The sequence below is a fragment of the Homo sapiens genome, chromosome 7, assembly GCF_000001405.40.
Source record: "Homo sapiens chromosome 7, GRCh38.p14 Primary Assembly".
Classification (NCBI taxonomy): domain Eukaryota; kingdom Metazoa; phylum Chordata; class Mammalia; order Primates; family Hominidae; genus Homo; species Homo sapiens.
Window position 1 is genome coordinate 25,351,917 of NC_000007.14, and position 27,805 is coordinate 25,379,721.

Consider the following 27,805-nt stretch of genomic DNA (forward strand, 5'->3'; position numbering starts at 1 on the left):
AACACACACAGGGAAGGTAACCAGATGTAACCTGCTGTAAACCAATTTACTTTTTGCCCTATGCTATTTCCTTGTTCCTGCTCAAGCTACTTGATAAAAACAGACTCCTCTGCCATGCCCAGTGGAGCGCCTCTGTCTATTTTGTAGACTGGATGCTGCCTGGTTCAGGAATTGCTAATAAAAGCCAATTAACGGCCAGGCATGGTGGATCACGCCTTTAGGAGGCCAAGGCGGGTGGATCACAAGGTCAGGAGTTCAAGACCAGCCTGGCCAAGATAGTGAAACCTCATCTCTACTAAAGATACAAAAATTAGCCAGGTGTGGTGGTGGGCACCTGTAATCCCAGCTACTCAGGAGGCTGAGGCAGAGAATTGCTTGAACCCAGGAGACAGAGGTTGCAGTGAGTGGAGATTGCACCACTGCACTCCAGCCTGGGTGACAGAGAGACTCTGTCCCCCCGACAAAAAAAAAGCCAATTAACTGTTTAAAACTCAATTTGTTAAAATTTTGTTGGTTGACACTAGGAAGTAGCAAGGAGGGCAACGATGTGATTTCTCAGCATAACTGGTGCCTGAGGCTCCCTCCAAAGGCCCTAACCCTAAGTAGTTGCAAGATGGTCAAGGCTTCCCCTGGAAGGCAACAGAATTCCTATTTGGGAAAAGAATTATGGTTTTCTGTTCCTGAGAAAATGTTTTTAGTCAAAAAAAAAAAACTTAATAAACTGCATCAAGGATGGAAGATGATGCTCTGAGAGCATGGATTGGGAAGAGATCTCAAAGAAAAAGCAAAACAGCTCTGCATAGAAAATAACTAGGAATTTGGAAGTAACAAACAGAAGAGAGGAGAGGCAAAGAAGGGAATGAAGGAATCCTGGAGCTGAGTGGCGTTAGAGGAGGCTGAAGTGTAAAGAGAAAAGCAGCCAATGAGAAATTATTGGGGTTGGGGTGACTGGGCAGGGGTGGTTCTTGAGAACAGAAATATCTATTACTATACTTTCAATTCCTTTTTCTCCTATGAGATAAATGCCATTTGCTACCCCAACTTTTCAGTAAAATGTGCTGCTATACATCAAATGCTTTATGTCAGCAGGCTGTGGGGCAATCCAAGAAAGGACTGGGCTTTGTGGCTAGATTGGTGAGGCTGGGGGTGCCAAGCAGCAGCAGGGAACTATGAACGAGGATCTGGCTGCACTAGGACTCATGGACCATGAAGATCCAGCCTCTGGGAAGTCACAGGGGGATATGGAGGCTGTATGATTCTGTAAGAAAGGTGATAAGAGCCTTGCCTATCACAATTTTACAAACATCTCAAAGGATAGGATGATCTCAGTTGTGCATATTGTAATGTGCAAACTTCCAGGTGGAAAAGAAAATCAGTCATCTGGAAGCCTTCTTGAGACCTGCAGGAATTTAGAAACATTCAGGCAATTGACTGCATTTTCCACCATCTATGACAACATCAAGCATTGTAGGGAAATGGCCTGGAATCATGTCATTGCCTCAGGCTAGATCCGTACTTCACCCAACAGAGAATTCCCTGACATTCTCATTTCTGACATCTGCTTATTACACAAACCATTGTGGGGAATAAGAATAAATTTATTCTGAATTGGTTCTTGCTTTTGTCCAGTGCTTCTTTCATAGGCCACAATGCCATGTTGAAATTCTCGATGAGCTTACGCTACATTTTATAGAACTTTGCAAAGTACACACTGGCATCTGTCTACATATTTTGCTGAATTAAGTATTTAACTGCTAAATGTGGTATAAGATACAACAATCAACAAAAATATGTTTTAAGTTCTTCCATTGCTTTCTCTATATTTCCCTAGAGTCTGTTGCAAGGCCTGGATATAACGCAATCTGTAAATACCAGCCCTACCCCCACTTTCAACAGTGCCATTCATCCAAGAATCCCAAAGCGTGTTTTAATAACGGACTCATTAATCCTCATAACACTCCTTCATTTGACACATGTAACTCTCACTACATGATATGTTGCTACTTACTCTGGATTTAATTTAACAGGTTTTTCCCCGTTGTGGGTAGTCATTTACATTGACCTCATTTTAGTTGAGTTATTGCTCAGATTTGAGCAAGTTTGAATGGCCTCATCCCAAACTGACATCTTCTGGCAGATAGAAGCAAACCATCTGAAGAAGCAATTATTATTATTATTATTTTTTAGGGAGAAGCTTCAGCAACAAATGGCCCTATAAATAAACAATTGGATTTTAATCATGGGCGAAGAGAGTGAGACATCTTGCCATTTTACATAAATGTGAAATTGGATGAATTTTAGAATTCATAGGAGGGAGGAAACGAAGACTTTTGCTGAGACTGGGAGACCCAGGGTGGCAAGAGCCTAACCTCTTCTCAAAGAAGTTTGTTTTTCACATTTCCTCTTCTTAAACTTGTCCTCTTTGATCTCTTTCCTTTCTGTGGTCAGACAGTTTTCTGGAGTTTTCAAAGTCCCAGGCAGCAGTAGCAGAGCCTAAACCGGGAATGGAATGAGGTCATGTGTCCAAGAAAGTGTGGCTAGTAAAATAGACTTTGGAGATGGGCCGAAGTATCCACTGATTGAAGAAAACAGACAAGTCCAAGGAGGAAATGCATACAAGGCAGAGGTGGTAGGCAAAGAGGAGTATAAGATTGACAAGGAGGTAGCACTTTGCAACTAGAGAGTATTGGGGGAACTTTGGACAAATTTTCATGAGCAGCATTCTTTTAGGACTGTGTGTCTACCCAATTGATATGGTTTGGATTTGTGTCCCTGCGCCAATCTCATGTTGAATTTGAGGAGAGGCCTGACGGGAGGTGATTGGATCAGATTTACCCTTTGCTGTTCTCATGATAGTGAGTGAGTTATTACAGGATCTGAAATTTTAAAAATGTGTAGCACTTCTCCCTTCACTCTCTTTCCCCGAGCCATAGTACAATGTGCTTGCTACCCCTTCCACCATACTTGTAAGTTTCTGAGGCCTCCCAGTCATGCTTCCTGTTAAGCTTGTGGAACTGTGAGTCAATGAAACCTCCTTTCTTCATAAACTACCCAGTCTCACGTAGTTCTTTATAGCAGTGTGAAAATGGACTAATACACCAATGGATAGTCCTGTATCATTTTTATTTATTTATTTATTTATTTATTTTTATTTTTATTTTTTTTGAGACGGAGTCTCGCTCTGTCGCCCAGGCCGGACTGCGGACTGCAGTGGCGCAATCTCGGCTCACTGCAAGCTCCGCTTCCCGGGTTCACGCCATTCTCCTGCCTCAGCCTCCCCAGTAGCTGGGACTACAGGCGCCCGCCACCGCGCCCGGCTAATTTTTTGTATTTTTAGTAGAGAAGGGGTTTCACCTTGTTAGCCAGGATGGTCTCGATCTCCTGACCTCATGATCCACCCGCCTCGGCCTCCCAAAGTGCTGGGATTACAGGCGTGAGCCACCGCGCCTGGCCCCTGTATCATTTTTAAAAGCATGGCACTCCAAACTAGACATCTCATAAGCAGCTGAGTCTTCCCTGTGGCTTCAGCTATACTTCCTTTTTTTTTTTTTTTTTTTTTGAGACGGAGTCTTGCTCTGTCACCCAGGCTGCAGTGAGCTGAGGTCATGTCACTGCACTCTCCACCTCCCAGGTTCAAGTGATTCTCCTGCCACAGCCTCTCAAGTAGCTAGGGCTACAAGTGCACACCACTACGCCCAGCTAACTTTTTTGTACTTTTAGTAGAGATGGGCTTTCACCATGTTGGCCAGGCTGGTCTTGGACTCCTGACGTCAAGTGATCCACCCACCTGAGCTTCCCTGAGTGCTGGGATTACAGGCTTGAGCCACCGTGCCCGGCAGCTATACTTCTATGTAGTCAACTCTCAAATATCTTGCACCAGCCTCTGTCTCATTGTCCTAGAGCAGTGATTCTCAGACCTAATGCTCCTTTTAAAACACATATTTTGTAATGTCTTTTTTATTATCATGAAATTCATAAATAATACAAATTACCTATATACATAATTAAAATAAAATGCCTTGACTATATTATAAAAAAGAGAGAAAATAATACAGTGTGTATTTCAGTGTGCAAATACCTTGGGCACAACTTCACTAGAACACAAAATGAAATGTCAGATGTTTGCATCTTATCAAAAAATCACAGGGCTGAGACAACTACAGTGGTAGGCAATACAGGTATACTATATCGACAACTCTAATGTCATGATTAGTGTTGCCATTGGTGCTGTAATTTTATGAAATGGTCAACAATTCTTGGTCAAGTTTTGAACCAAAGAACACATGATCTACCATTGACTTGCATGGTAGTTGCAATCCTGGATGTTGGTGTACATTAGAACATATGAAAGTATGTTGTGTTTCTATAGAAAATAATTTCTTGGAAATGAAAACATTATTTTTTTTTCTGAGAAAATGTTTGTTGGCTTAGATAATTGAATTTTTCCTACATCGGGAAAACAAAGTTCTTGAACTTTTTGGTCTTAGCGCCTCTTTACACGCAAAGATTGTTGAGAGCCTTCTCAAAGGTTCATTTATGCAGGTTGTACTGATATTTACTGTATTAGAAATTAAAAGTGAAATGTTAACAGTATTTATTATCTTTAAAAATAACCCCATTACATGTTAAAATAGTATTTTTTAAAAAAGTATCTGTATCTTCCTAAACAAAACATAATTTAATCAGAAGAGTGGCATTGTTTTACATTTTTGGAAATCGCTCTAATGTCTGGCTTAATTAAAGACACCTAAATTCTGTTATCCACTTCTGTATTTATTCTGTTGCCATATGGCATTTTGCTTGAAGTGTTTGAAGAAAATCCAGGCTCACACTGGGAAATAGTTGGAAAAGACAGGAGCGTGTAATAGATCTTTCAGGTAATGTAGATATTATTTGATAACACACAAAACTTAACAAGTGATAGTTTCTTAAATGTTAGTTGCAATGTTGAATTGGAAGCCATATCAGTGAACATTTTGTACTCTGTTATATTAAAATCCATTGGCTTAGTTTGCACTTTGAGTGGCTCTTTTACCGTGCATGATTTTATAAGAGCACACGTTGGTTATTTGTAAAGTATTGGCTCACTGAGTTATACAGATCTTCCAAATGTTGACACAGTTCATTATACAATATCAGTAAATCACATTAGTTAATACTGACACTTATCTCATCAGAAAGGTCTTTTAGTGTTGAGAAGCAGCCAAGCTCATGGTGGTAGGTACAAATTTTCCATAATTCTAATTTTTTCTTTAATGCTTGAATTTTATCATTGGCAACAAGTACTTTTGTTGTTTTCTTGGAAGTAATTTCTTGGAAATGAAAAAAATTATTTGTTGTTTCTGAGAAAGTAGTCTGCTGGATATGCATCTGAATAATCATAGTACATATGTCACTTCTTTTTTCAAGTAAAAAATGATGTTGCATGACAAAAGAGGCTAGTTCAGTTTGCAATTTAAACAAAATTATATTTTGATATGCAGCATTTTGCCAGACACAATATTAAGAAGGTATGTACTCAAGGGCTGAGATTCAATGAAGTTAATTTTATTGCTTCATCAAGGACATTCTTAAATGAAACTAGAAGGTTTTGTTGGTGATTTTGTTTAACACCCAGTGCATAGTAGGGAATGATACAGTAACCACTAGTATAGTTCAGTTGAGTGCTGCTGCCTTGATTAATGCTAAAGCATCAACATTTTCACTTACCATTTCTTTTTGTGTCATCATTGGAGACATCAACTCAATGAAAAAGGCACATAATGTGATGGTCTTCCTGTGAAAATGGTTTTGACCTTGAATTATCCTTGAAAAGGACTCAGGGACCTCCAGGGATCCCTAGACCCCACTTTGAGTATCAATGTCCTACTCGAGTATCTCGAGGGACATGCACAGTACAATTCATTGTTGTGTTCATACTGCACCTAGTGCAACAAATTAATATCTCTGGTTCCCATCCTCTAACCTCAGGAGTGCCCTCCAAATCATTTTGACAATCAAAAATGCTCCCTAGGCAATTCCCCAATACTGCCTTGGGGCCCGTGTGGCCATTTGAAAAATATCTCTCTAGAAGTCCTGATCTGTGTTACCAACTTGATCAGGAAACTTTTCACATGAATGCTGGCCCACACTCACTAAGTACAAACCAAACTGATCACCTCCAGGTAGATAGAAAACATGTTAGAGCCAGAAGGGCCTGTAGGGTTCACTTTGGTCTGCCTTTTACAAATGAAGAAACTGAGGCACAAGAAAGAGAAATGACTTCAAAGTCATAAGTATTAATGTGACTATTATTAAATAATGATCCATTTCATCATCTTTCAGACATTTAATACATTTTCTCATTTATTTTGTAGGTATTTCCAGCCTTGTTTTGCAACCGATAAAAATGAGACTCAGAGGTGAATGGCTTCCCAGAGTTTACAAAACTAGTAAATGGCAGAATAAAGACCTTCAGTCCAGGTTTCTAGGTTACAAATGCTGTGCTCTTTCCTCCCGGACATGAGTGACTCTCCCTTCTCTGGTTCTCCTCATGCGAATCCAATTAGGTGCCAAGATCTTCAGATTTTACCTTCATCAAGTTTTCCACATTCACTCTGCATTTTCGCTGCCACTCTGTAGTTTGGGTTCTCATTTCATCTTATTTTGACTTATTGTCTCTTACCCAGGCATCCTGATTCTGCTCTGTTCTTTCTTTCATTCATCCTGAATGCTTTCCTCATGCTAAAGTCATGGATTGGAGCAGGACACCTCTTCCATCCACATCTCTCTCCAGGAAGGCAAATGGTCCTTAAGCTCATTTTAAGAAACCCTGAATAGATCACATTCATTTATAGACCATTTAGTCTCCCTCCTTTAATTGTTTTCTGACCTCTGACTATCCAAACCATCTTGAGTATATAGACATGGATTAATAAGATCTAGAAAAATCCCAACATGGTTACATCCAAAGACGAGAAAGCCCTGGTAGATTGTTGGGATAAATGTAACACCCTCTTGGCCTCATTTCAGAAGACTTTAAAAAAAAAATCTTTAAATGTCCTTCAGAAAAAATTGCCTTAAGGCCTAGAGAGAAGCAGGAGCTCCTAATTCCAGTTTGACCCTTTGAACTGTTCCAGGGACCTACTCTAGCCCTCAGCTCCAGTTATGGGACCATGTGGTTTTAGGAATGTGTAGGATTTATAGCTTAAAAAATGCCAGAAAATCAGGAATTTAAATCCCTCCTGATTTATGCCTGGCTTGTCAAAGGCTCTAGCGATTTTAGAGATGCCGAATCTCTTAGTACGGCTCCAAAGCATGAGCTGTGTCTTGCTTTTCAGCCGATTGTTATTAACAATGGTTGCCTTTAACGCTTTACTGGCACTCAGCTGTAATCTTTAAACTTGGTCCGTTCCTGCTTTGGGAGGTGTTATAAATTTCATGATTCAAAAAAATTATAAATAGGAACATTCTCTGACTTTTTTAGCCAACATTTCTGAGACTCATTACCTGGGGGACGGAGGCTTAAGTATCCTTTATTGGTGCTCGCACATCTGAGCTGCTCTCTTGTTGATGCTAAAAGTGTGCAGTCCATCCGTACTAAAGAATAATTCTTTACCAGAGAAGAGACAAATGCAAGCACACTCATTTGTTGTCTGTATTTGTGGTTGCTTATTATGCATCCTGGAGCATTTGGTGCAGAAAACTAGACCCTCCTCCCCCACATGGTTACTGTAAGCGATTTAAATCAATCCCTTTTATGCAGCAGTGGGTACAGGAAGCACAATATACAGCCACTAAATATGCCATTTAAATTCTTCTCAGGCAAAGGTTAAAAGAAAGGTGGGGGGAGGAGCCCGTAGAGCAGAGATTGCCGAGGTAGCTGTATTCAAATATTTTTGATAGGTTTCTAAGATACATGTCTCTTTTGCTGAAGCAAATGCATTCGTGTCTGAAAAGAAAACAAACAGGGAAAATGTTAGCTCTTGTGCTGATGAGCTCATGAGAAATGCCAAAAGAGTCGTTTGTGCACAGCGTCAAATATCAGGGGTTCTTTATTGTGGAGCTCTGATGCTCAGAATCAGGCGGAACGTTTCCATGACAACTAATAGATGTTATGTTTATTTACTGAGTGGCAGGGAATGACAATGTGAGCAACTGACATTTTAGTTTCTTTTTCCTCTTTTTTTTCCCCAGTAAGGATTTGTTTTAGTCAATGAAAATGGCAACAACATCTTCCATTTTTATTTGTCAGAGCTCCTATGGCAAAAATAAACAGCAGTTTAATTTGATTCAGTTATTCTCTGAAACATACTTTCAAGGCCCATCGCTTTATGGCCTTGGAGAGTGTTTTCAGCGGGCATTTGCTGGCGAGAAGATGGTTGGCAAAGTAAAAAGCAAATTTCACCTTTTATTCACTTGAAAATGATCTAATAACTGCATTCCGGGCCATCTGAATTTATCTAGATCTCATTAATGTCCTCTAAATTTCAGGTGACCTTGTTTATGCTCCTACTGATATATTCGTAAAAAGGGTGTCTTAAGACCTGTAACAAGACCACAACCTCAGCAGAGCCAGGAGATGAGGTTGCAGGGAGGGTTGGACAGACCCTCACTGGTTATAATGATATATTCCACACCGTTATCTGCCTGTGGCTTGTCTGCCCTCTAAATTATCTGCAGTTAATTTTTAATGCTGAACTGGCTTCCTCCTACTATCCAGCTGGTGTGTGCTCAAGGGATATAAACCAATGTTAGCATTTGCTTTAAGAAAACACACTTAGGAAGGCAAGCTGCTGGTGGGGGTGTGGATGGATGTTCATATGATGCGTGCTAAAGCAAAGAATTGGCATTTCTCTTAGTCCCTGTTTTGTATTATCTCTGCTGCTGCTCTGATTAATTTGAACAATTGAAACTTGAGATACTTTGGGCTTTTGAGGAAAGAACTCCAAGTGCTGTAGGAAACAAAGTCAGTGTGTGACTATTAGGAGGTGCTCAAAGTGTTATTTCCAGAAAACACACTTCTCCCATCTCCTGTTGTCTCAGGTAGAAATTGGCTTATCTCAGAACAGTTCCATCACTTCATTAAACTTATCTATTGAAGGCCTGTTTTACTTTTTTCTTTTTTTTTTTTTTTTTGGGACGGAGTCTCTCTCTGTCATCCAGGCTGGAATGCAGTGGCTCGATCTCAGCTCACTGCAAGCTTTGCCTCCCAGGTTCACACCATTCTCCTGCCTCAGCTTCCCGAGTAGCTGGGACTACAGGTGCCCACCACCATGCCCGGCTAATTTTTTGTATTTTTTTAGTAGAGACAGAGTTTCACTGTTTTAGCCACGATGGTCTCGATCTCCTGACCTTGTGATCTGCCCGTCTCAGCCTCCCAAAGTGCTGGGATTACAGGCGTGAGCCACCGTGCCTGGCTAGGCCTGTTTTTCATGCTAGAATGTAAGCTTCTTGAAGGCAGGGAGTGTGTCTTCCTTATCTTTGTATCCACAGCACCGTGCACAGTTTGACACAGCAAGCATTCAAGAAAGCTTTGTGGAATCAACAGATAATGAATGAGTGAATGATCACAACCCAGCTTGTGTCATCTCAGCTACTGGGTGGAATCAGGCATTCCCTCTTCTGATCATGCAGTCATGACAGTGCTCCTCACGTGGTCCTGTTGGCTTCTAGTTCTGTGGAATGAATGTATGAATGAGTGTCCACTTCAGGATGGGAGCCAACATTTCTCAAGGGCGTGCTCTCCTGTTTTGCAGTGTACACATCCACGTGCACATGCACACAGCAAATAATTCAACAGAAGAGTAACAAAGGAAAGAAGTATATTCTCATGAGACCATATCTAGCCCTGAGGAAAATGTGGGCGATTAGGAAGAACACTGAATATCTGAAAAACTGGGATTTTCTGTCACTAGTCACAGTATCTTTGGGTCTCAGCAACTTCACTTCTAAAATGAGGGGTGTGGACCAGAGGTACTTTTCCCAAATTGTGTTCCAGTGGACACCAGTGTCTACTAGGTGTTAATAGCTCTTCTGACACAAACAACCAAGAGAAACCAAGCACCATGTGAAACGAAATTCACCAGGAATACCTGGCATCCCATAAGTCTGAGAGGTCTTAGGAAATATGTGGCTTCTGCTGTCCAATGTCTTCTGTGATTATGCAACCAGGCATCTTTCCAGAGGGAGCCTGTTGTAGTGTGTTTGTGCTGCTACAGCAAATTACAAATTACTTAGTATCTGAAAACAGTATCTGATTACAAATCAGTATCTGATTACAAATTACTCAGTATCTGAAAAACAGAAATGTTTTTCTCACAGTTCTGGAGGCTGGAAAGTCCAAGATCAAGGTGCTGGCATTTTTTCTGGTGAGGGCCTTCCTGCTGCAACCTCACAAAGCAGAAGGAGGAAGAGCAAACTGGAGCAATGCTACATGAATTCTCTTTTACAAGGGCCTTCATGTCATTAATGAGGGGGAAGTCTTCATGGCCTAGCCATCTGCGAAAGACCCCTCATCTTAATGCTATCACATTGGCAACACCTGAATTTTGGAGGGGAGCTATTCAAACCATAGCAAAGCCCAGGGACAAAAGCACTACTTTTTCCAAACATATTTGATAATTAACCACTTTGCTGAAGGAGACATCTAGATTTCCATGAAACGCTGGGATCCTGGGCTGGTGGTTCTTTCCTCAGGGGAAAACAAGCTTGAGGTGATGGAAATTCTGAGTTAAACTCTTATTTTGTTGTGTTACTTAGTCACATTTTAAAAACTCATTATATTTTGCCCACATAATAGAAAAAGAGTAGAGACTTAGAAAATTGAGGTAATATTATAGATAATCAATAAGAAAAAATCTGTACCACTCACTTGTGGTTTGTCTACACTTATGATAGTCCCCACTGATAATGATCAGATTACTAATCCCCCATAAGTGTAGATTGAATCAGGTTTGGAAAATTTGTGACTTCTGCCACATCTTCTAGGTTTGCCCAGTCAGGAGGTTTGTACAGTGGCTTCTACCATGGGGTATTCTGGTGTGAAGATCACAGAGGAGGAGGAGAAAGAAAATTAGTCTGTTGATCTTCTATTGCCACAAGACTTCCTCATCTCTGCTTCTGATATACTGTTTTCAGATTTATTATCAAACACAGTAAGAATTCGTCATTGTCCATAAGGTAAAATATGCCCAGGATACAAATACATGGAATTTGGGGGAAAAAGGGGAAGGAGAGGAAGGTAACTGTATTTATTGAGCAGCCACTATATGCTAAGCTTAATGCTAGGCATTTTGCAAGTGCACTGGGAAATGCCAGAATCATTATCCCCTTTACGTACAAGTAACCTGAAGTTCATGGTGACATGAGGGTCATTGGCTAAAAAGGGGCAGAGCCTAGATTCAAATCCTGATGCTTATGATATCAAAGTTTATAAGCTTTCTATTTTATTCTGGTGAGGGGAGAGGATACAACCTAGATAGAGTTAACACTAGCAACCATTAACAATGCTTAACTAAGTCAGAGGCAATAAGGCAAGAGGAGAAGGCATCATGGATTTGGTTGTTAGGGATGGAATCAAACAAGACACGGGATTTGAGCTGATCTTTTCAGAATCAAAAGGATTTAGAGGCACAGTTGGAATCACGATTAAACAAAAAGCCACACATGACTTCTGGTGCTTTGCAGATTTATGGCTGCATGGCAATCTTAGAAAGAAGTGAGAGGGCTTTAGGGCCAAGTGCAGGGTTATCCCAGGTACATCACAGCTTGCAGAAACTTATGGTCCTCAGGACATGGCAAAATTATAGACCTTCATGGGTTCCCTGAAGTTGCTGCAATGGGCTATTCCTACTTGAGCTCTCAGTGGCAGATTTCATGATCTGGCCTTTGTAGTGGCTCAAATAAGGTCATTACACAGTGAAAAAGAAAAACATGGAAGCTTAGTTGGGAATGGGCAAGAAGACAGAATTGTCAAGAAAGTTCTAGTAATCATGCATTTTGGTCCCCTCTGCTTTCTTGCATGAACTGTCTTTTAAATTACTCCAAATGGACCCTAACCATGGTTGGTTCTCCACTTAATACAGCTGCAAAGGACTGGTGAATGCTGTGGAATTCTGTCTCCCTTTGAAATTATTATTGGTTTTATGTTTCCACATGACAACATCAGCAGGTTTTGGTTAAGTCTAATTGCTGTCCCCTAAGCAGCACCTGTTCATTTTTCTTTTTCAGTGCTTAGGGGCATTCTTCTGTGGCATAATTTCGGTGATCAGAGTAACACCTGAATAATGATCCATCAAATTTTTAAGTTAGTCGTACAGCATTTGGAACCTGAGTTTTGGGTCACAAACATAATGCTTTCAAAATGTTGAGCGTGTCCCACTTTAATAGAGCCCTTCTCCCCTGCATTTTTTTTTTTGACTGGATGTGCCTACAAATACAAATTAGTTATAGAGCTTGCTGAAAATGTGTTTTAGGATGAGTGTTTGGCATTACCTCCAACAGAGTCAAAGCTTGGAAAATGATTACAGTCATATGACTTTAGAAGTAGAGGGGGATATGTTACAGATAGGCCCATCCTGGAGTTTTTAAACTATGCCTGATGGAGCCGAAGGGACTCTCCAGAGCTGTCCCAGGAAGGCTGGGCTCCAGGTCTCCATCCCACTACAAATGGGCAGCTCCTCTCCCCCACTTTTTTTTTTCTAAGACAGAGTCTCACTCTGTTGCCCAGGCTGGAGAGCAGTGGTGAGATCTTGGGTCACTGCAACCTCTGCCTCCCAGGTTGAAGTGATTCTTGTGCCTCAGCCTCCCCAGTAGCTGGGATTACAGGTGAACGCCACCATGCCCAGCTAATTTTTGTATTTTTAGTAGAGATGGGGTTTTACCACATTGGCCAGGCTGGTCTTGAACTCCTGACCTCAGGTGATCCAGCCACCTCAGCCTCTCAAAGTGCTGGGATTACAGGTGTGAGCCACTGTGCCCGGCCCAGATCCTCCCTTTACTGGAACTCCTTGTGGGATTTCATTTCAAGAATGGCTCCATAGCTATCAGAAAGTCTGGAAACCACATATCTAGTCTAAAACCTTTATTCCAGATGAGAAATAATGAGGCCTAGAGAAGGAATATCAGTTTCTTTAAGGTGGAATCTAGTAGCAAACTATGGAGTGGGCCTTGTCCTCTCTCCTCATCACATAATTTTTCTACTCAATAATAATGTTTATCGAAGTCCAGATTTATTTGAGGCTCATAGGCTAAAACTTTAGACCTTGAAGGAACCTTACTTTTCTTATGCTATTGTCCTCAAATAATTTATTATATGCTATCAACATGCTAAACAAGATACATAGAGCAGGATAAGATGGTGCAGGAAAATTAAAATGGTCAAAAATATAACAGTCGTGACCTTTAATAATTTCTGTGAGCTTCAGTGTGCAGGATATTATTTTTGGTTTTCAATATTATCATCACCCATCTAAGCAGTCTTATCTGAACTGCAGGGGGAGAAAACAGAAACTGCATTCTCAGTCTCCCTTGCCAGGAAGGTCTTGGTTGGATTCCTCCAAAGGGGGATTTCCAAAGATTTGGGAAGGCAGAAAGAAGAGAGATGCTGTTTTCCTCATAGAAGCATGAGCAGACAGCTAATGTAGGATTTTACTGGTGGCTTGCTTTAGAGCATTTTCTTAAGAATAATCTGCTTCTGTGCTGTAGGCAGCTGGGATCACTGGCAGTGACTTCCAACCGCAATGCAGGTCTTTCTGAAAATGAACTATGTTCATGCTGCAGAAGCTGAGGCCATTGGTGGTGGCTTTCCAATGATCCTGTACTTCTGGATTTCCTGAAAGCGACCTTCCTGATCTATGCTCTCTTGACTTTCCAATAGCTGTGTCTCCTCTAATTCCCTGTATGAAGCTCTTTCCTACTCAGAATACCAAGAACAGCTTCTGTTTTCTGGATTGTAGCCTGGTAGTTCCAGAAATGTGTTCCTTCAAAGGAAGTGGCATATAGGGAAGCAAGTGGGTGGCAGAATAATTGATATCTGGAGCTGGAAGAAGAAAACTAATGTTAAGTAGTGACAAAACACTTGGAAGGTATACCTCAACATATCTATTCAGCCTGCAGCATGGGGGAGATGGCGTGTATTGATTATTATTGGCTGTACTTAATAACTCTCACAAAAAAAAGAAGAGCTCAGGAAGACACTGGCTAGGTGGCAAGCAAAAATGAAAAGAAATGAAGAAATCTCAGAAATTCAGAGCTTTGCAAATTAGGAAAAGTTAACCATTTCTATACTCCAGACAGCAACAGATAGGGTTTACAAAAGCCTTTGAGCCACAATGGCACAGTAAAAATCATCAGTTGACTAGGTTTCAAGACGAAGATCAGTTTAATGGTATAGGCTTCCTCTTCAAGCCTGACATGCTCAAAGGTCACCACCACTAAGCTGAAGAAATAGAAATAAGGCAGTTTTGAGAAGTATGTATTAGAGAGAATTTAGGTATGATTTCTACATCTGAAACTGACTAGAGACAAATAGGTCAGAAGACTACTGATTTCTTCAGGGGGTTCTATTGTCAATAAAACCACTAACCTGGAAACAAACAAACAAACAAACAAACAAACAAACAAACAAAAGCCTTTTGATTTGTCCAAAGCCTTTGACTACTCTGGCACCTTTATCTTCCAAAAATAGAAGACAGCTTCAAATGTTATTTACTTCCCATGAGGCCTTCCTCAAATGTGGCCAAGGAGAGTAAAAAACCAAGAGGAGTCCCCAGGGGCAGAGCCAGAGGCCATGGGGAACACGGGCAGAGGAGATCTTCCCAAAAAAATAGAAACAGGGTCTAGGCAAGGGACTTTTGCCCACCCCAGTGATGGGAGTCTAGTTTCAAATGCAGTTAGGTCATGCCCTAATTTTTGGTCTTTTGAAGTAGGGGTTCCCAGATGTTTTAGTGCTGGGATACAATGTCAATATCCTGATATGTCTTCAGGAAAGAGGCATTTCCTCTATTCCCATATTCATGGATACAGATTTTTGCATTTGATAGGGAAGGAACACACCTTGGAAAAGAATCCCTTGACTTTGATGATTTCAAATGAGACACAAGAGAAGAGTGTGTGCACAGAGCTCCTAAGAAGGATAGAGGTTCTTCTATGTTGAGTGCTAGTTGCTGTAGGCCACCCACACTGGAGATAACTTCAGGGCACTGGAGTCTAGCACTGCCCTGGAGGAACCCGTGGGAGACTGTAGATTGACAGGAAGTAGAAGGAAGCGGGGTAAGATGCCAGCCATGGCTCATGAAAGAAACCTGCTGCAGGTCTTAGAAATATAATACTTTTAAAAGTGTTATACTTGTCACCCAAATTCATATAATTAATGATGACTTGTGAGACTCAATAGAACTTCCACACTAGGCAAGGATTGAAACTTTGTCTTTTAAAGAATATTACAGTTATGTTTTCCTTAATAATAATAAAATATTTTTTCACTGTAGAAATTTTAGGAATATTAGAAAAGCATGAAGTAGAAAAAAATCATACTTCCTAACTCAGGAAATTATCACAATTAAGATTTTGCTGTAGTTCTTGTTAATCCTTTAAACTCAAATATGCATATTTTGAAAATAAGGTCGATGTATATGGCCTCTAAAGGTACTTTGTATTAACTAGTGTAGGCTAAGTTATTCCACTGTAATGAACAGTCCTCAAATCTCAGTGGTTTGTAATAAAGATTATTTCTCATTCATGGTTCTGCTCCAGCCCTGCTTCACATTGAGTTCATTATAGGCACCCAAAGTAAAGGAGCAGCATCTATTTGAAACAACCTCTTGGCAGAGAGGAAGGAGAACGTGGCAGATCGTGTACTGGCCCTAAAGCTTCTGCCTGGAATGACACATACATGTCATTTCTGCTTACATTTCATTTTGGAAAGTAACTAACTCATATGGCCAAGCCTAATGTCAATGGGTAAGAAAATATATGATCCTCCTTCAGGGAGGGGCGGCAAATATCTCTGAACAATAATATTTATATCACTTAACTAGTTTATTCCATGCTCCTTTGTAAGCACTGGAATTGTCATAAAACTCGTGTGATGTTGCTTTCTCTGTATGAGGATATTTGCACATCTCCTGCCTTTGGTTCTTCTCATCTTTGTTCTCATTGCCATAGGAAGGGAACGGTGGGAGATGGGTTGGTGACCCTATCACTAGTGGAAATGAGCTTATTATCTGTAAAAAGCAATAGGATCTAAGGAAAATCCTAGAATTTTATCAAAGCCTAAATTTAGATGTATTTGCAGCAGAAATTTTAAATTACATTCTAAATTCAAGAACTAGCATATTCAACAGAAATCTTCAGCAAATGGTGATCCCTACTTGGCTTTTCCACACTGAGAAAGGGTGTTTCCTGGCACCATGGCAACCCTTTCTAGCAGCTGGTTCAAGGGTCCATATGTAATCAGAGCTAGTGTTTTGGGTTCAGATGCCCACACCTACCTATCTCTGTCAGCCTCCTACCTTCTGTTCTCGAAGACTCTGCCTAGGGGGTCAGAATGCAGCTTCGTAAATCTGAAATCACCTGCTCATTTTCTTGGTGCCCAGCTGTTCACTGAATGGTTGAAGAACAGAAGGAAAATGTCTGTTCTCCAGTCCCCTGTGTGCTTAGGGCCCTTGGCTTTGTGAGCCTCACCTCCTGTGCTGGGGAGGCCATGAAGCTCAGTCACTATCCATTATGTCCTCACCAGGCCCCACAGGTGTCTTCCCAGAGACAGGGGATCATTCATAAAACTCCGTGCCCCGTCTTGATGCTGCCCCAGCCCCCAGTTTTCTAATTGGCACGCTGAATGCACAGGCAGCAGGGACTATCCCTACTTTACATCCCTTACATCCTCTGTGTAGCAGAGATCAAACTATTCTCAGGTCATAAAGAATCATGCTTTTCCTTCTCTTGTAGGTGTGGTTTGACTTCCTCTGGTTTGGACAGTCACCAGTCACTTCTGGTTTTATACCATGTTTTGTCTTTAATGTCTGTCCTGTGTTCACTGTCCTTTCTGCCTCATTTTCTAGTGGGTTTTAGGGGTTGTTTGCATCTATTTATGACTCAGTAAAGAGTGTGCGTGTTTTGCATTTCAAAAGTCAATGAACAGGCAATGCTTCTTACGGAGACAAAGTGGACTATGGTGTCTGCTAGATCAACTGACCTGCCCAGAAGGCAATGGTTAACCCTTCTGTCCCCCATTTTCTCTTCTGGACTCCCCCAAAATGAACACAACTCTAAGCCACCACAGTATCCTGTAGCATTTCATTTTCAGTCCTAATCCTCTAAAGAGGCAAATTTCAATGTTGTTTTAGATTTTTGTTTTTAACATACTAGAAGCTGAAGAAAGGCTGCCCAAGCCATTTGATAGGGAAGAATAGGAAAGGATTTCTTGATTAAATGCAAGCCCCAGAATGCAGTCACAATCCCTATCCACAGTACACACACCAACAAATTTGACTTTTTTCTTTTCAAACAGACATCATCTTGCCTTCAATGAATGTCATGGAAGAAGACAATTCTAATAACACTGGCTGCAAATATGGGTGTTTCCTGGGTAGACAGTAAATTTCAGGCAATTGTGAGTGAAGGTAGATTTGGAATGGGGTGAATGGGGTTCAAGGATTACATGAGGTTAGTCTCAATGCATTTTATGATATTTTCACCCTGAGATTTCATTGAATCCATACACACAGTGTTGCCTAATCAAAATGAACTAGGAAGGAGAAAGCAAACGGGAAAGCAATTTCTAAGACAAATTTTTCCTTTCCCTTAGTCAATGCTCTATTTGGGTGTCTAAAATGTGGCCTCCTGAATGCCTGGAGCTTATCTTTGGCTGCAAGACAAGCAAACACTGGGTCTGGAATCAGAAGGGAAGAAGGGGGAATAACAACAAAAAGATCCCTTGCCAGGAGTGTGGAGAGACATGGCAGAGCCAGCCTCATGACTGGCACTGCAGGGCTCTGAAGCCTGGGACAGCTGTGGAGCCCGTTGCCTCTGGAAGGAGGGTTGTTTCTGCCCCTGGCTCCAGCCCTCCCTGCATATCCTCTCCCACTGAGTTCATTCTTGGCCCGTCCTCACGCAAAGGCAAGAGAGCCAGGTGCTGGGATGGAGCCAGATTAGAGACTGGAAGTACATCTCCCTTTGTGATATTAAAGCTAAGGGGGAAGCGGGTGAGATAGAAAGGCTAAAGGAACCTTGATTCCATTCTGAGGGTGAACTGTGGAAGGACTGGCTTTTAAGGGAATTAGATGGCAGCTTAAAGAATGCTAGGGGTTTTCCACCTGTGCTAATGCAACATACTCTGTGTATTTACGGATGTTTGTTGGTAGCCCCTCTTCAGCTGAATGTAGGAGAAACACATAGATTTTGTTGCCTGTGAAAGATTGACCAAACTGCCTGGGCACTCTGTTGCATAAGGACAGTACTCCAGGATTTGTGTGGCATGAAAGAAAAGGTGAAAGTTTTCAGAACATCGGAGTGAAAGAACAGGTAAAAGTGAATGAATAGGTTTGATCTCCTTTAACCCTGTTAGTGTTGAGTAGATAGGGAATAAAGCCACATATTAAGCTGTTATAAAACATTAAAAGCTAAAGAGCTTCCTATTGTCACTGAAGAATTGACAGTTAGGGTTCTGACCAGTCTGGATAGGAAATAGCTCTCTCAAAGCTCCCAAATTTCAGCTGGTCCCGAATAGCTCTGATGCCAGCCTAAACAGTTCTAGTTGTCAACTGCCACCCCTTCCCAGTAGTTATCGACTCTTTCCCAATGTGAATTAATCTATACTCTCTGAGTACTCCAGTTGGGATCTCTCGTCTGAAGCAGAACACAAGTCTAAGCACCCAGCAATCCAGCTATGTCCTTAGAAGCCCAGGTGGGAGACAGTTTATTTTCTGATTTTTCTCAGGGTTATTTGCAGAGAAATCAGAGGCATTGTTTTTATAGGAATATCCCAGAAAGGCTGAAATTATTGATGTGGGATTAACAACACTTATGTTAAAAAGCTCCAAGGACAAAGTAAAAAAAAAATCATTTGAATGTTAATATATATGCAGTAAGTATATATAAGACAAAATGGTAGAAATTACGGAGAGACATATTTTAGATCAAAGTAAGAGTATCTTCTAATAATAGAGCTTTTCCAGGGTCAAATGAACTGAACTTACTGATAGTGGGCTCCTTTTCATTCTAAGTATGCAAGCAAAGGCTAGAAAGGTGTTTGTTCATTATTAACTAGTTTCAAGGTATAAAAACAACAATGAATATTTTACTTCGTTAACTAGGAGTTCTTAATCTGTGAGCTCCCACATGTGAATGTAAAATTATTATGTATCTGCACATTTTCTGTGGAGACGTTTTTCTTTTTTTCCTTTGTTTTCTGTCATAACCTCTTGTACATGACAAACCAATTAACTAACTCCAACTCTCCATGTAAAGCTTCCAGTTAGGTCTTTTGGGTCCCACCCTTAAACATGACTAAAGTGTCTGCTAAAGATCAACAGACCCTTGAGAATAACTTCTAACACGAAAGACAGAAATCAAAACAAAGAGGATAGAGACAATGATACAGAAGGGAGAAGAAATAAAGAACAAAAAAGCAGTAACAGCCAAGAAATAACTCATTAATATTCCCAGAAAATTAAGACCATATTTCATGAAACAGTGAACTAGAAGCTACAAAAAAGGAGCATTCAGAAGACAAAAAGGAGCTTTTAGAAATTAAAATTATGATGGCAGACATGAAAAATAAGAAGGATTCATAGATAAAATTAGTACATCTCACAGAAAGTTGAAAGAGGGGACAAAGAAATGAGAAATAGGAAAGGAAAAAAACATAAGAATTAGCCCAGGAAGTCCAAAATTTGAGTATAAGAGAGATGAGGATAAAATAAAGAGGACATCATCATCAAAGAAATAATCCAGTGAAAAATTTCCAGAACAAAAGCACATGAATTTCCTGGTAGAAAAGGCCTAACAGCTGTGTTCTTGAATCTATTTTTAATAGATGTAAAAAATACTTATACCAAGATACATGTGTATAGAATTTCAGAATACTGGACCAGTGGGAAGACTCTTAAGTTTCCAAAAAGAAACGCAAAACAAAAGCAAGACACATACAAAAGACTGGAAGTCAGAGTGAATTAAACTGTTGAGCAGTAACACTGAAATTGAGTACACGATTGATGAATGAGTTTATTTATTATAAAGGGAAAATTATTTTCAACCCAGAATTTTATACCCAGCCAAACTATCAATTAGATAGTGGTGAAGGTGATGCAGTAATGGGGGTAGGGCAGGAGAATAAAGACTTTTCTATATATTCAAGATGTTCTGCAAACAATGGCAAATATCTAGAGAGCATACATATTAGGGCTGCTGGCTGCTGGAGCAATGTTCACTAGGGAAATTCATGGTAGCAACATCAGCAACAGAACAGTGAAGTTCTCCCATTGTCTATCATATTCCAAGGGAGAGCACAGTCTGACAGAGCGAGATGTCAGACTTGGGGAGATGTACTCAGACACTTGGGCTTTGGAACTTTTACACTACATAAACAGGGAAGAATTAATAAGTCATCTGTGTAATCAGAGGCCAGAATATAGTGGCAGTAGTACTTGGCAGAAAATTATCTCCAGCCCTTTTCTGCCAAGACACTATTTTTGGTTGGAGTTAGCATCAGCCTCTTCTCTGGGGTGATCAAGGAGCTAGGATTCAAGCTTTAGGTTGCAGCTACATGAAGAGGCAAATAGTGTCAGACCTTATATTATCAGCATTCATGGTTAGTAACGCTCCTCCCCTATAATGGTTGGAAGACTGGGGTCCGAAAGTTGATGATCAGAAGTATCAGGCATCCCCTATTTAAATTGAGGCTTAAAGAGAGTCAACTCTTTTTCTGGGAGGTCAATTTATAAGATATAAGTCTTGGACAAGTTCTCTTTTTTCTCTCAGGAGAGCTCAAGGATTTTACATTATATGTACCTTTTCTGAGGAAGCAACTTGATGATTTCATCCACCTTACTGAGGGAGTAAACCACGAAAGAGGAAGATACAGAATCCAAGACAAAGGAGATACATACAGGAGAGGCAAAGATAAATTATTAGGATGACAGTGAAGGGAGATGTCTAGGAGGACAGCTAGCAACAGGAGCAACCTGAGCAGGTACATTGGTGCAGTAGGAGAGAGGGCTCCAAGTGAAAGTTTCTTAAGAAGGTAAAATGGACACACCACTCACTTTTAAAACAGCTTTATGGAGGTATAATTGTCATATAATAAGCAACATATTTCAAATACATAATTTGCTAGGCTTTGACATATTTTGACATCCATGAAATCTTTATCCCAAGCAAGATAATGATCATATTCATCGCCATCAAAAATTTATTTCATAACCCCTACCTCTTTTCTCTCCCTGTCTTCCTGATTGTTAGGCAACTACTGATCTACTCTCTGCCATTATAAATTAGTTTGCATTTTCTAGAATGTTACACAAATGAAATCTTAACATACATATTCTTTTTTGTCTGGGTTCTTTCACTCAGCACAAATGTTTTGAGACTCATTAATGTTGCTACACTTTTGTGGTATAGATCATAGTTTATTCCTTTTATTGTTGAGTGATAGTCCATGATATGAATATACCAAAATTGTTGTTAATGAACATCTGGGTTGTTTCCAGCTTTTCCTATTAAAAATAAAGCACTATGAACATTCATGTGCAAGTCTTTATGTGGGTATATGCTTTCTTTTTTCTATGGTAAATATCTAAGAGTGGAATGGCTGGATAATATGGAACTGTTTTCCAAAGAGGTTGTACCATACCATTTTACATTCCCATCATCACCATATGAGAGCTCACCTTCTTCTACATCCTTACCAGCACTTCATATTATTAGCCTTTGCATTTTAGGCATTCTAACAACTTGTCTAAAATCAATTTCCCACAAAAGCATAGAGTTATTTTGGACTCTCTATCCAGTTTCATTGATTTGTTTGTCTATCTTGATGTCAACTCCAGAGTATTTTGATTATTGTTGCTGTATAATGAGTCTTGAATTTAGATGTGTAAGAACAGTTCATATTGTGCTGAAACAATTGAATAGCCATATTTTTGTTAAACCAACTTTGCAAAACCCTTGGAATAAAACCCACTTGGACATAATGCGTTATCCTTTTTAATATATTGTTGGATTCATTTTGCTAAAGTATTATTAAGAATTTTGACATCTACATTCATGAGAGATTTCAGTCTATACATTTCTTTTATTGCCTTTGTCTAGTTTTGGTTTCAGGAGCATACTGGTCTCATAAGTGGCTTGGGAATTATTTCTTTTACTTTAGTTTTCTGGAAAAGCTTATGTAGAATTGGAATGATTTTTTTAAATGTTTGGTAGGAGTCACAAGTGAAACCATCTAGGCCTGGGGTTTAATTTATAGAGAGGAAATTTACTGTCAATTCAATTTCTTTAACACGTGTAGTATAATGAGGTGATCTAATTTTTCTTGAGTGTGCTTTGGCAGTTTTCATCTGTCAAGAAATTTGTCTATTTCATCTAGGTTTTCTAAGTGTCTTGTATTTTTTTATTATCTTTTTAATATTTAAAGAATCTGCAGTGACATCACCTCTTTCAAACCTTAAATTAATCATTGTGCCTTCTTTTTTTTTCCTGATCAGTCTGGCTAACAATAATTTTATTGATCTCAAAAAACTAGATTTTGGTTTCTGTTCTCTATTTCATTGATTTCTGCTATGATATGATCTTAATTTTTTTTGTTTTCTGCTTACATTGTATTTTTTGAAAATTTTTTAATAGATTTTTTTTTTTTTTTTTTTTGAGACAAGGTCTCACTTTGCCACCCAGGTTGGAGTGCAGTGGGACAATCACAACTCAATGCAGCCTCAACCTCTTGGGCTTAAGTGATCCTTCCAACTCAGCCCCCGCCAAGGACCTGGGACTACAGGCATGAGCCACCACACATGGCTAAGTTTTAAATTTTTTATAGAGATGTCTCACTATGTTGCCCAGTCTGGTCCTGAATTCCTGGACTTAAGTGATCTTCCTGCCTCAGCCTCCTAAAGTGTTGGAATTGTAGGTATCAGCTACCATGCTTGGCTGTGTCATCTTAGTCTAATTTCAAGGATTGAGATGATTCAAAGATAGGCTTCCATCCATGAGAGGAACTTTCTTTAGTATGGTCTTTTTGGGTTCCAGTTCAAAACATGGTGATCGCTAACCCTCTCACTTGGTGAATCCTAGGCTCTGGTTTTTCTCCCTTAAGTCCCCAGAAACTGTTAAAAGCATGGGTCACCTTCTCAGTCTTTCATGCATGTCTTTCCAGAATTAACAAATACCACCATGGACAAGAGGCTCTAATTGCTGACTTATTGCTTTTGCTTTTAATCTTTTCCCAGGTTTTAAAAAGAACTACTGAGTTAGTTAATAGAATAAAAGGTATTCTAGATTTTATTTGACTCTTTCAATTCTGTTAATAAAGTTAAATATTTTTTCATATAGAAAGATAACAGGTTAGTGCAGGAGTAATTACAAGTCCAGCCTCTCTGGGTTTCTCTATCAATGAGACATTAAAAGGTCGTGACTTTGAGAAAGTCTTCCAGGCCTTGCAAGCCCTGTTCATGGGAATAGCGGTAGCTCCTTGCACAGGGAGGGAGCCGGGGATTTAGATTTTGCTTATTTGACTGATCATAAGGGCAGACGGTGAACAGAGCCATCTTTACAAACATTCCTAAGCTGTTTTCAAATGTGCTTCTGTACTTGTTTCCAAAAGATGTCTAAGTAAGCTTTGATTCTCTTAAGCATATATGAAGAAATGGACAACATGCCACCTTTTTAAACCGAAATTTTAGTAGAGAAAGTCAAAGCATATTTTCAAGCCCAAAGAACACTGGACTAATTAAAATACCCTAAAAGCTATATGATCAGCTCTGACAATGAACTGATGTACTGGGGATCTGAAAGGGCATGAGGGGTTTTGGAGAGGATGGTGAGGTTAAGCTGTGCAGACTAGATTTCTGAACAGCTGTGTATTCTCATAAATGTGACATTCTCGTTTTCTTATCTTTCCCATCAATTCCTCTACAGTGCAGGAGGCTGAAGACAGATTTTTCTCCTCATGAAGGAAAAGTTCCCAGGGGTTGGGGCATGGGGCAGCTTTGGTTAGGCTTCTTTTTTATTTTTAAGCACATGGATTCCTGGTGCAGGATCCTAACCAGTTGAACTGCTAGAAATTATTATATCCTACACACGAGCTCACAGGGGTGAAAAGGAAAACAAGACCATAGATTTGGAGTTGTTTGTTTTGCTATAATTTGAAAAATAAACACGTTTCCCTGTCTGGAGTCATGAGTCATATTTTTTCTCTTCCAACTCTTAAATTACTGACACAGAACAAAGAGGGAAAATCCAAAGTTGAATACAAATTCAGCCATGCATCAGGAGATTCTTTCCTTGGTCCCCAAAGTTCTTAGAGCCTGTCCAGACTCCTGGCTCCCTTGGCAAACCCACTCCTTGATAGGAGCCAAGTATCCTTTGCAATTACCCTTCCAAGGAAATTTGGGGATAATGACATCAGCAGAAGAGTCAGATTAGATAATGCAAAGCAGCTGCCTCTCTACCTTTCAGATCAACTCCTCTCTAGAGGAAAGGTTTGCAACCTTTCTGCATGCACAAAAATAATCTGGAGTAATTTAAAAAATATACACAGATTCCTGGACTTACTTGCAGAAAATCTGATTCAGTGGGTCTGAGTTGAATCCCAGTTGTCTTCATTTTTAACATACAGGTGGTTGAACTAAGAACTGTATCTTGGATAAAACCTGCTCTAGGGACCGAGTTCCCAGGATCCAGAAAATCCTTTTATGATGGGACCGCATGAGTATGCTACCTTCTCATTACCCCTAGCAGCACAGAACCTGCTGTCTGTGAACAAGCTGGCATTTTTTTTTAAGGCTAATGTGGAACTCTCCTCATTTGGAAATAAGGTTTCAAAGAAGAAAATCATCTCACGTGGCTGTTGAAGACTATTTTGAAGTCCTAGGAGAAGCCTTCAACAATATTACACCATTAGTATAAAGATAATTTATTGGCATCAAAATGATCAAGCCAGAATTACAGTTTCTTTTTTTTTTTTTGCTTTCAATGCATGCATCTGGCATCTGAGTATTATTTAGTTGGTTTCAAAAGGGGTTTCAATTCACCAAGACCAAATTTCTTTATGAAGCTGTTACCACCATCACCACTGTTACTATTCCCAAAACCACATTCTCTGTTGGATCTTTGTACTTCAGTTAAAGCACTTATGTTTATATCATAAGCACTTTGTATGGGCATTTGTCTCTATAACCAGATTATCAACCCCTTAGAGGTGGGAAAATATCTTTTTAAATCTTGGTATGAAGTATACAAAGTGTTTGATGGATGATGACCTAGAAGGCTATCTATAACTATTGACTCAGTTAAATTATATATTTTTTTCCCCAATCATGCAACTGCATTAAATACACTGAATATAATTAGCATTTTTCATAAGTTTTTATAACTTTAAAGATTAACATCTTTTTCTAGATATGAGTCATAAGCTGGGAAAAATGGAAAGAAAAAATTAAAGAAAAATGGAAAGAAAAAATATTACCAAAAATATAGTTTCAAAACAAAAGCAAATTTTGGAATAATTATTTCCAGAAATTTAACTGGATTACATCTACCCTTTCATTACAGAAAAAAAAGATAATAATGAATTGCTTCCTAATTTTTCTTATTCTCCTAGCATCTACTGCAGGTGTGACTCAACACTCTCCACCTCCCCTGACCCCTTCCCTGGAGCAGCATCTACTTTCTCTGTTTTTACTAATACTATAATAATATTATATACTAATAAAACTATATAACCAACATGAAATTGAGAAGTGAGGAAACTGGATAATTTATGCTTCCAACAGTTTTTTTAGCTCCAAATTTAGGGAACCTGCTCTGCACCTATACCTGTGCAACCTGGAAGTGCAGGCAAAATAATGCCCCATAGGGCAAACCTCTACCCAATAAAGGGTGAAGAACAAATTCTCCCTGTGTTTTTCCCTTAAATGGATGGTTGTGAAATACCATTCATATGGCTCTTCTGATGGTCCTGGAGGATCAAGTCACCAGCTGTTTTCTTTGGTGGCCAATGCAATAATGTATCCTTATATTGGCCCTTCTTTCCTTCCTTCCTTCCTTCCTTCCTCCCTTCCCTCCTTCCTTCCTTCCTCCCTTCCTTCCTTGCCCCCTCATTTCCCCTTGTTCCTCACTTGTGCTTTTCAGGATTTCACCAATCAAGTACTCACACATAAGTCTTTGCCTCAGACTCTCCTTTCTAAGGAAGGAAACTAAGCAAAGATATTATGAAAGTTGAGAGGAGCAGTGGTGAGAAAATACAAAATGGTAGAAATTCTAAAGTTAGTTTGAAAATCTTTGAAATGCAGTAGGTGATGTTTTGCTTAGACTGATATAAAAATATACCTGTATTAATAACACTATAATGCCTGATTGTCTTTAAAGGGTCTTTTTTACAGTTTGGATTTAGACAAAGACCACACATTGCACTTCATAAGTTTCTTAAGGTTTCTCTTAATGTAAGCCAATCTCTTTCCTCTTTTAAATGCTACTAATTTGTTCAAGAAACAGGGTCATTTGTCCTGCAGAATGGCCACATTCTGAATGTGCGTGTCATTATCTTATTTCCTCCAGAATAACATGGAAATACAAAAGAAAACTCCTCTAAACTATTGCCAAAGGGCATTTTTTTTCCTTGATAAAGATTCTGTATCTCCTGTTCTTTGGGGGATTGGTAGTACTACTTGGTAAATGAATGGGTCAGAAATGAAATGAGTATTTTCTTATTACTGGGAAACAATGGAATTTTAGCTCAACCTTGACAGATACATGTTTATAAATTATCATTTTTCTGCCCCTATATATATACGTACATATATATATACATGTTTGAACAGGAGAAAAGGCATACAATTTATTTAATGCATACACAATGTGTGCATGGGGAGAATCACAGAGTGATTGCCCACCTCACAGTGGGGCTCAGAAGCTTATATACTATCCTGGAAAAACAGGAGAACTATTTTTTTTACACCAATAATGTGATGATTTTTGTGGCTGTCACCAAAATGCTAGAATTCTAGACTTGCAATGGATCCCAAAAGTCACCTGCTCTAATGCTTTTGCTTTCCAGGTGAACAAACGCAGGCTCCGGGATGCCAAGTGACTTCATATCAACATCACCCAGCAGATTAAGGGAACTGGGCCCAGACTCCTAGGCTCCTGACTACCCAGTCCTGTGCCCATTCTAGTGGCCACTATACTCACCCACTGGTTGTAGCCATATCTGGCTTAGGCTGGCAACACTTTTGAAGCAAGGATGATGCTTTCTTTCTTTTGCCCAAGACCATTCTTCATATAATAAGACAATTAACAGATTGTGGGTTTGATTTATATGTATGGTGAACTAACACTGGAATGTATCTGAAAGATTGAGGCAGGAGAGGTAGTCAAGGAAGTAACCACGTCTTTCAGACGTGGCAACCGTGATGACCACCAACACAATAAGCCCTGGTGTTGACACTGTAGTCAAGCTCATTCAAGCAAAGCTATTTTCAGTAGGGAATTTCCTCTGTAGAGAGCATGCACATTTTGATTTTACCTGTCCTCAAACTGACCCTTTGCTCATTATAATACTAATATAAAAAATACTAATATTAAAAAAACCCCTGGGTGGAGATTTAAGACG

At 39.7% G+C, this 27,805-nt stretch overlaps 2 long non-coding RNA genes across 2 annotated transcripts in view; one reads left to right on the forward strand and one right to left on the reverse strand.

The window, feature by feature from the left end:
* Positions 1–6,419, forward strand: part of LOC105375195 (uncharacterized) — a 29,625-nt gene extending 23,206 nt beyond the window's left edge. Inside the window, exon 3 of the long non-coding RNA XR_927105.2 lies at positions 6,357–6,419. This is a non-coding gene — a long non-coding RNA (uncharacterized LOC105375195). The remainder of the gene's footprint in view (positions 1–6,356) is intronic.
* On the reverse strand, positions 6,324–27,512 carry LOC124901604 (uncharacterized). The gene is made up of 2 exons (XR_007060262.1): positions 27,385–27,512; positions 6,324–7,930 (listed from the first exon to the last, which is right to left on the reverse strand). It is a non-coding gene; the product is annotated as an uncharacterized LOC124901604 (long non-coding RNA).
* Positions 27,513–27,805: the final 293 nt, after the last annotated feature.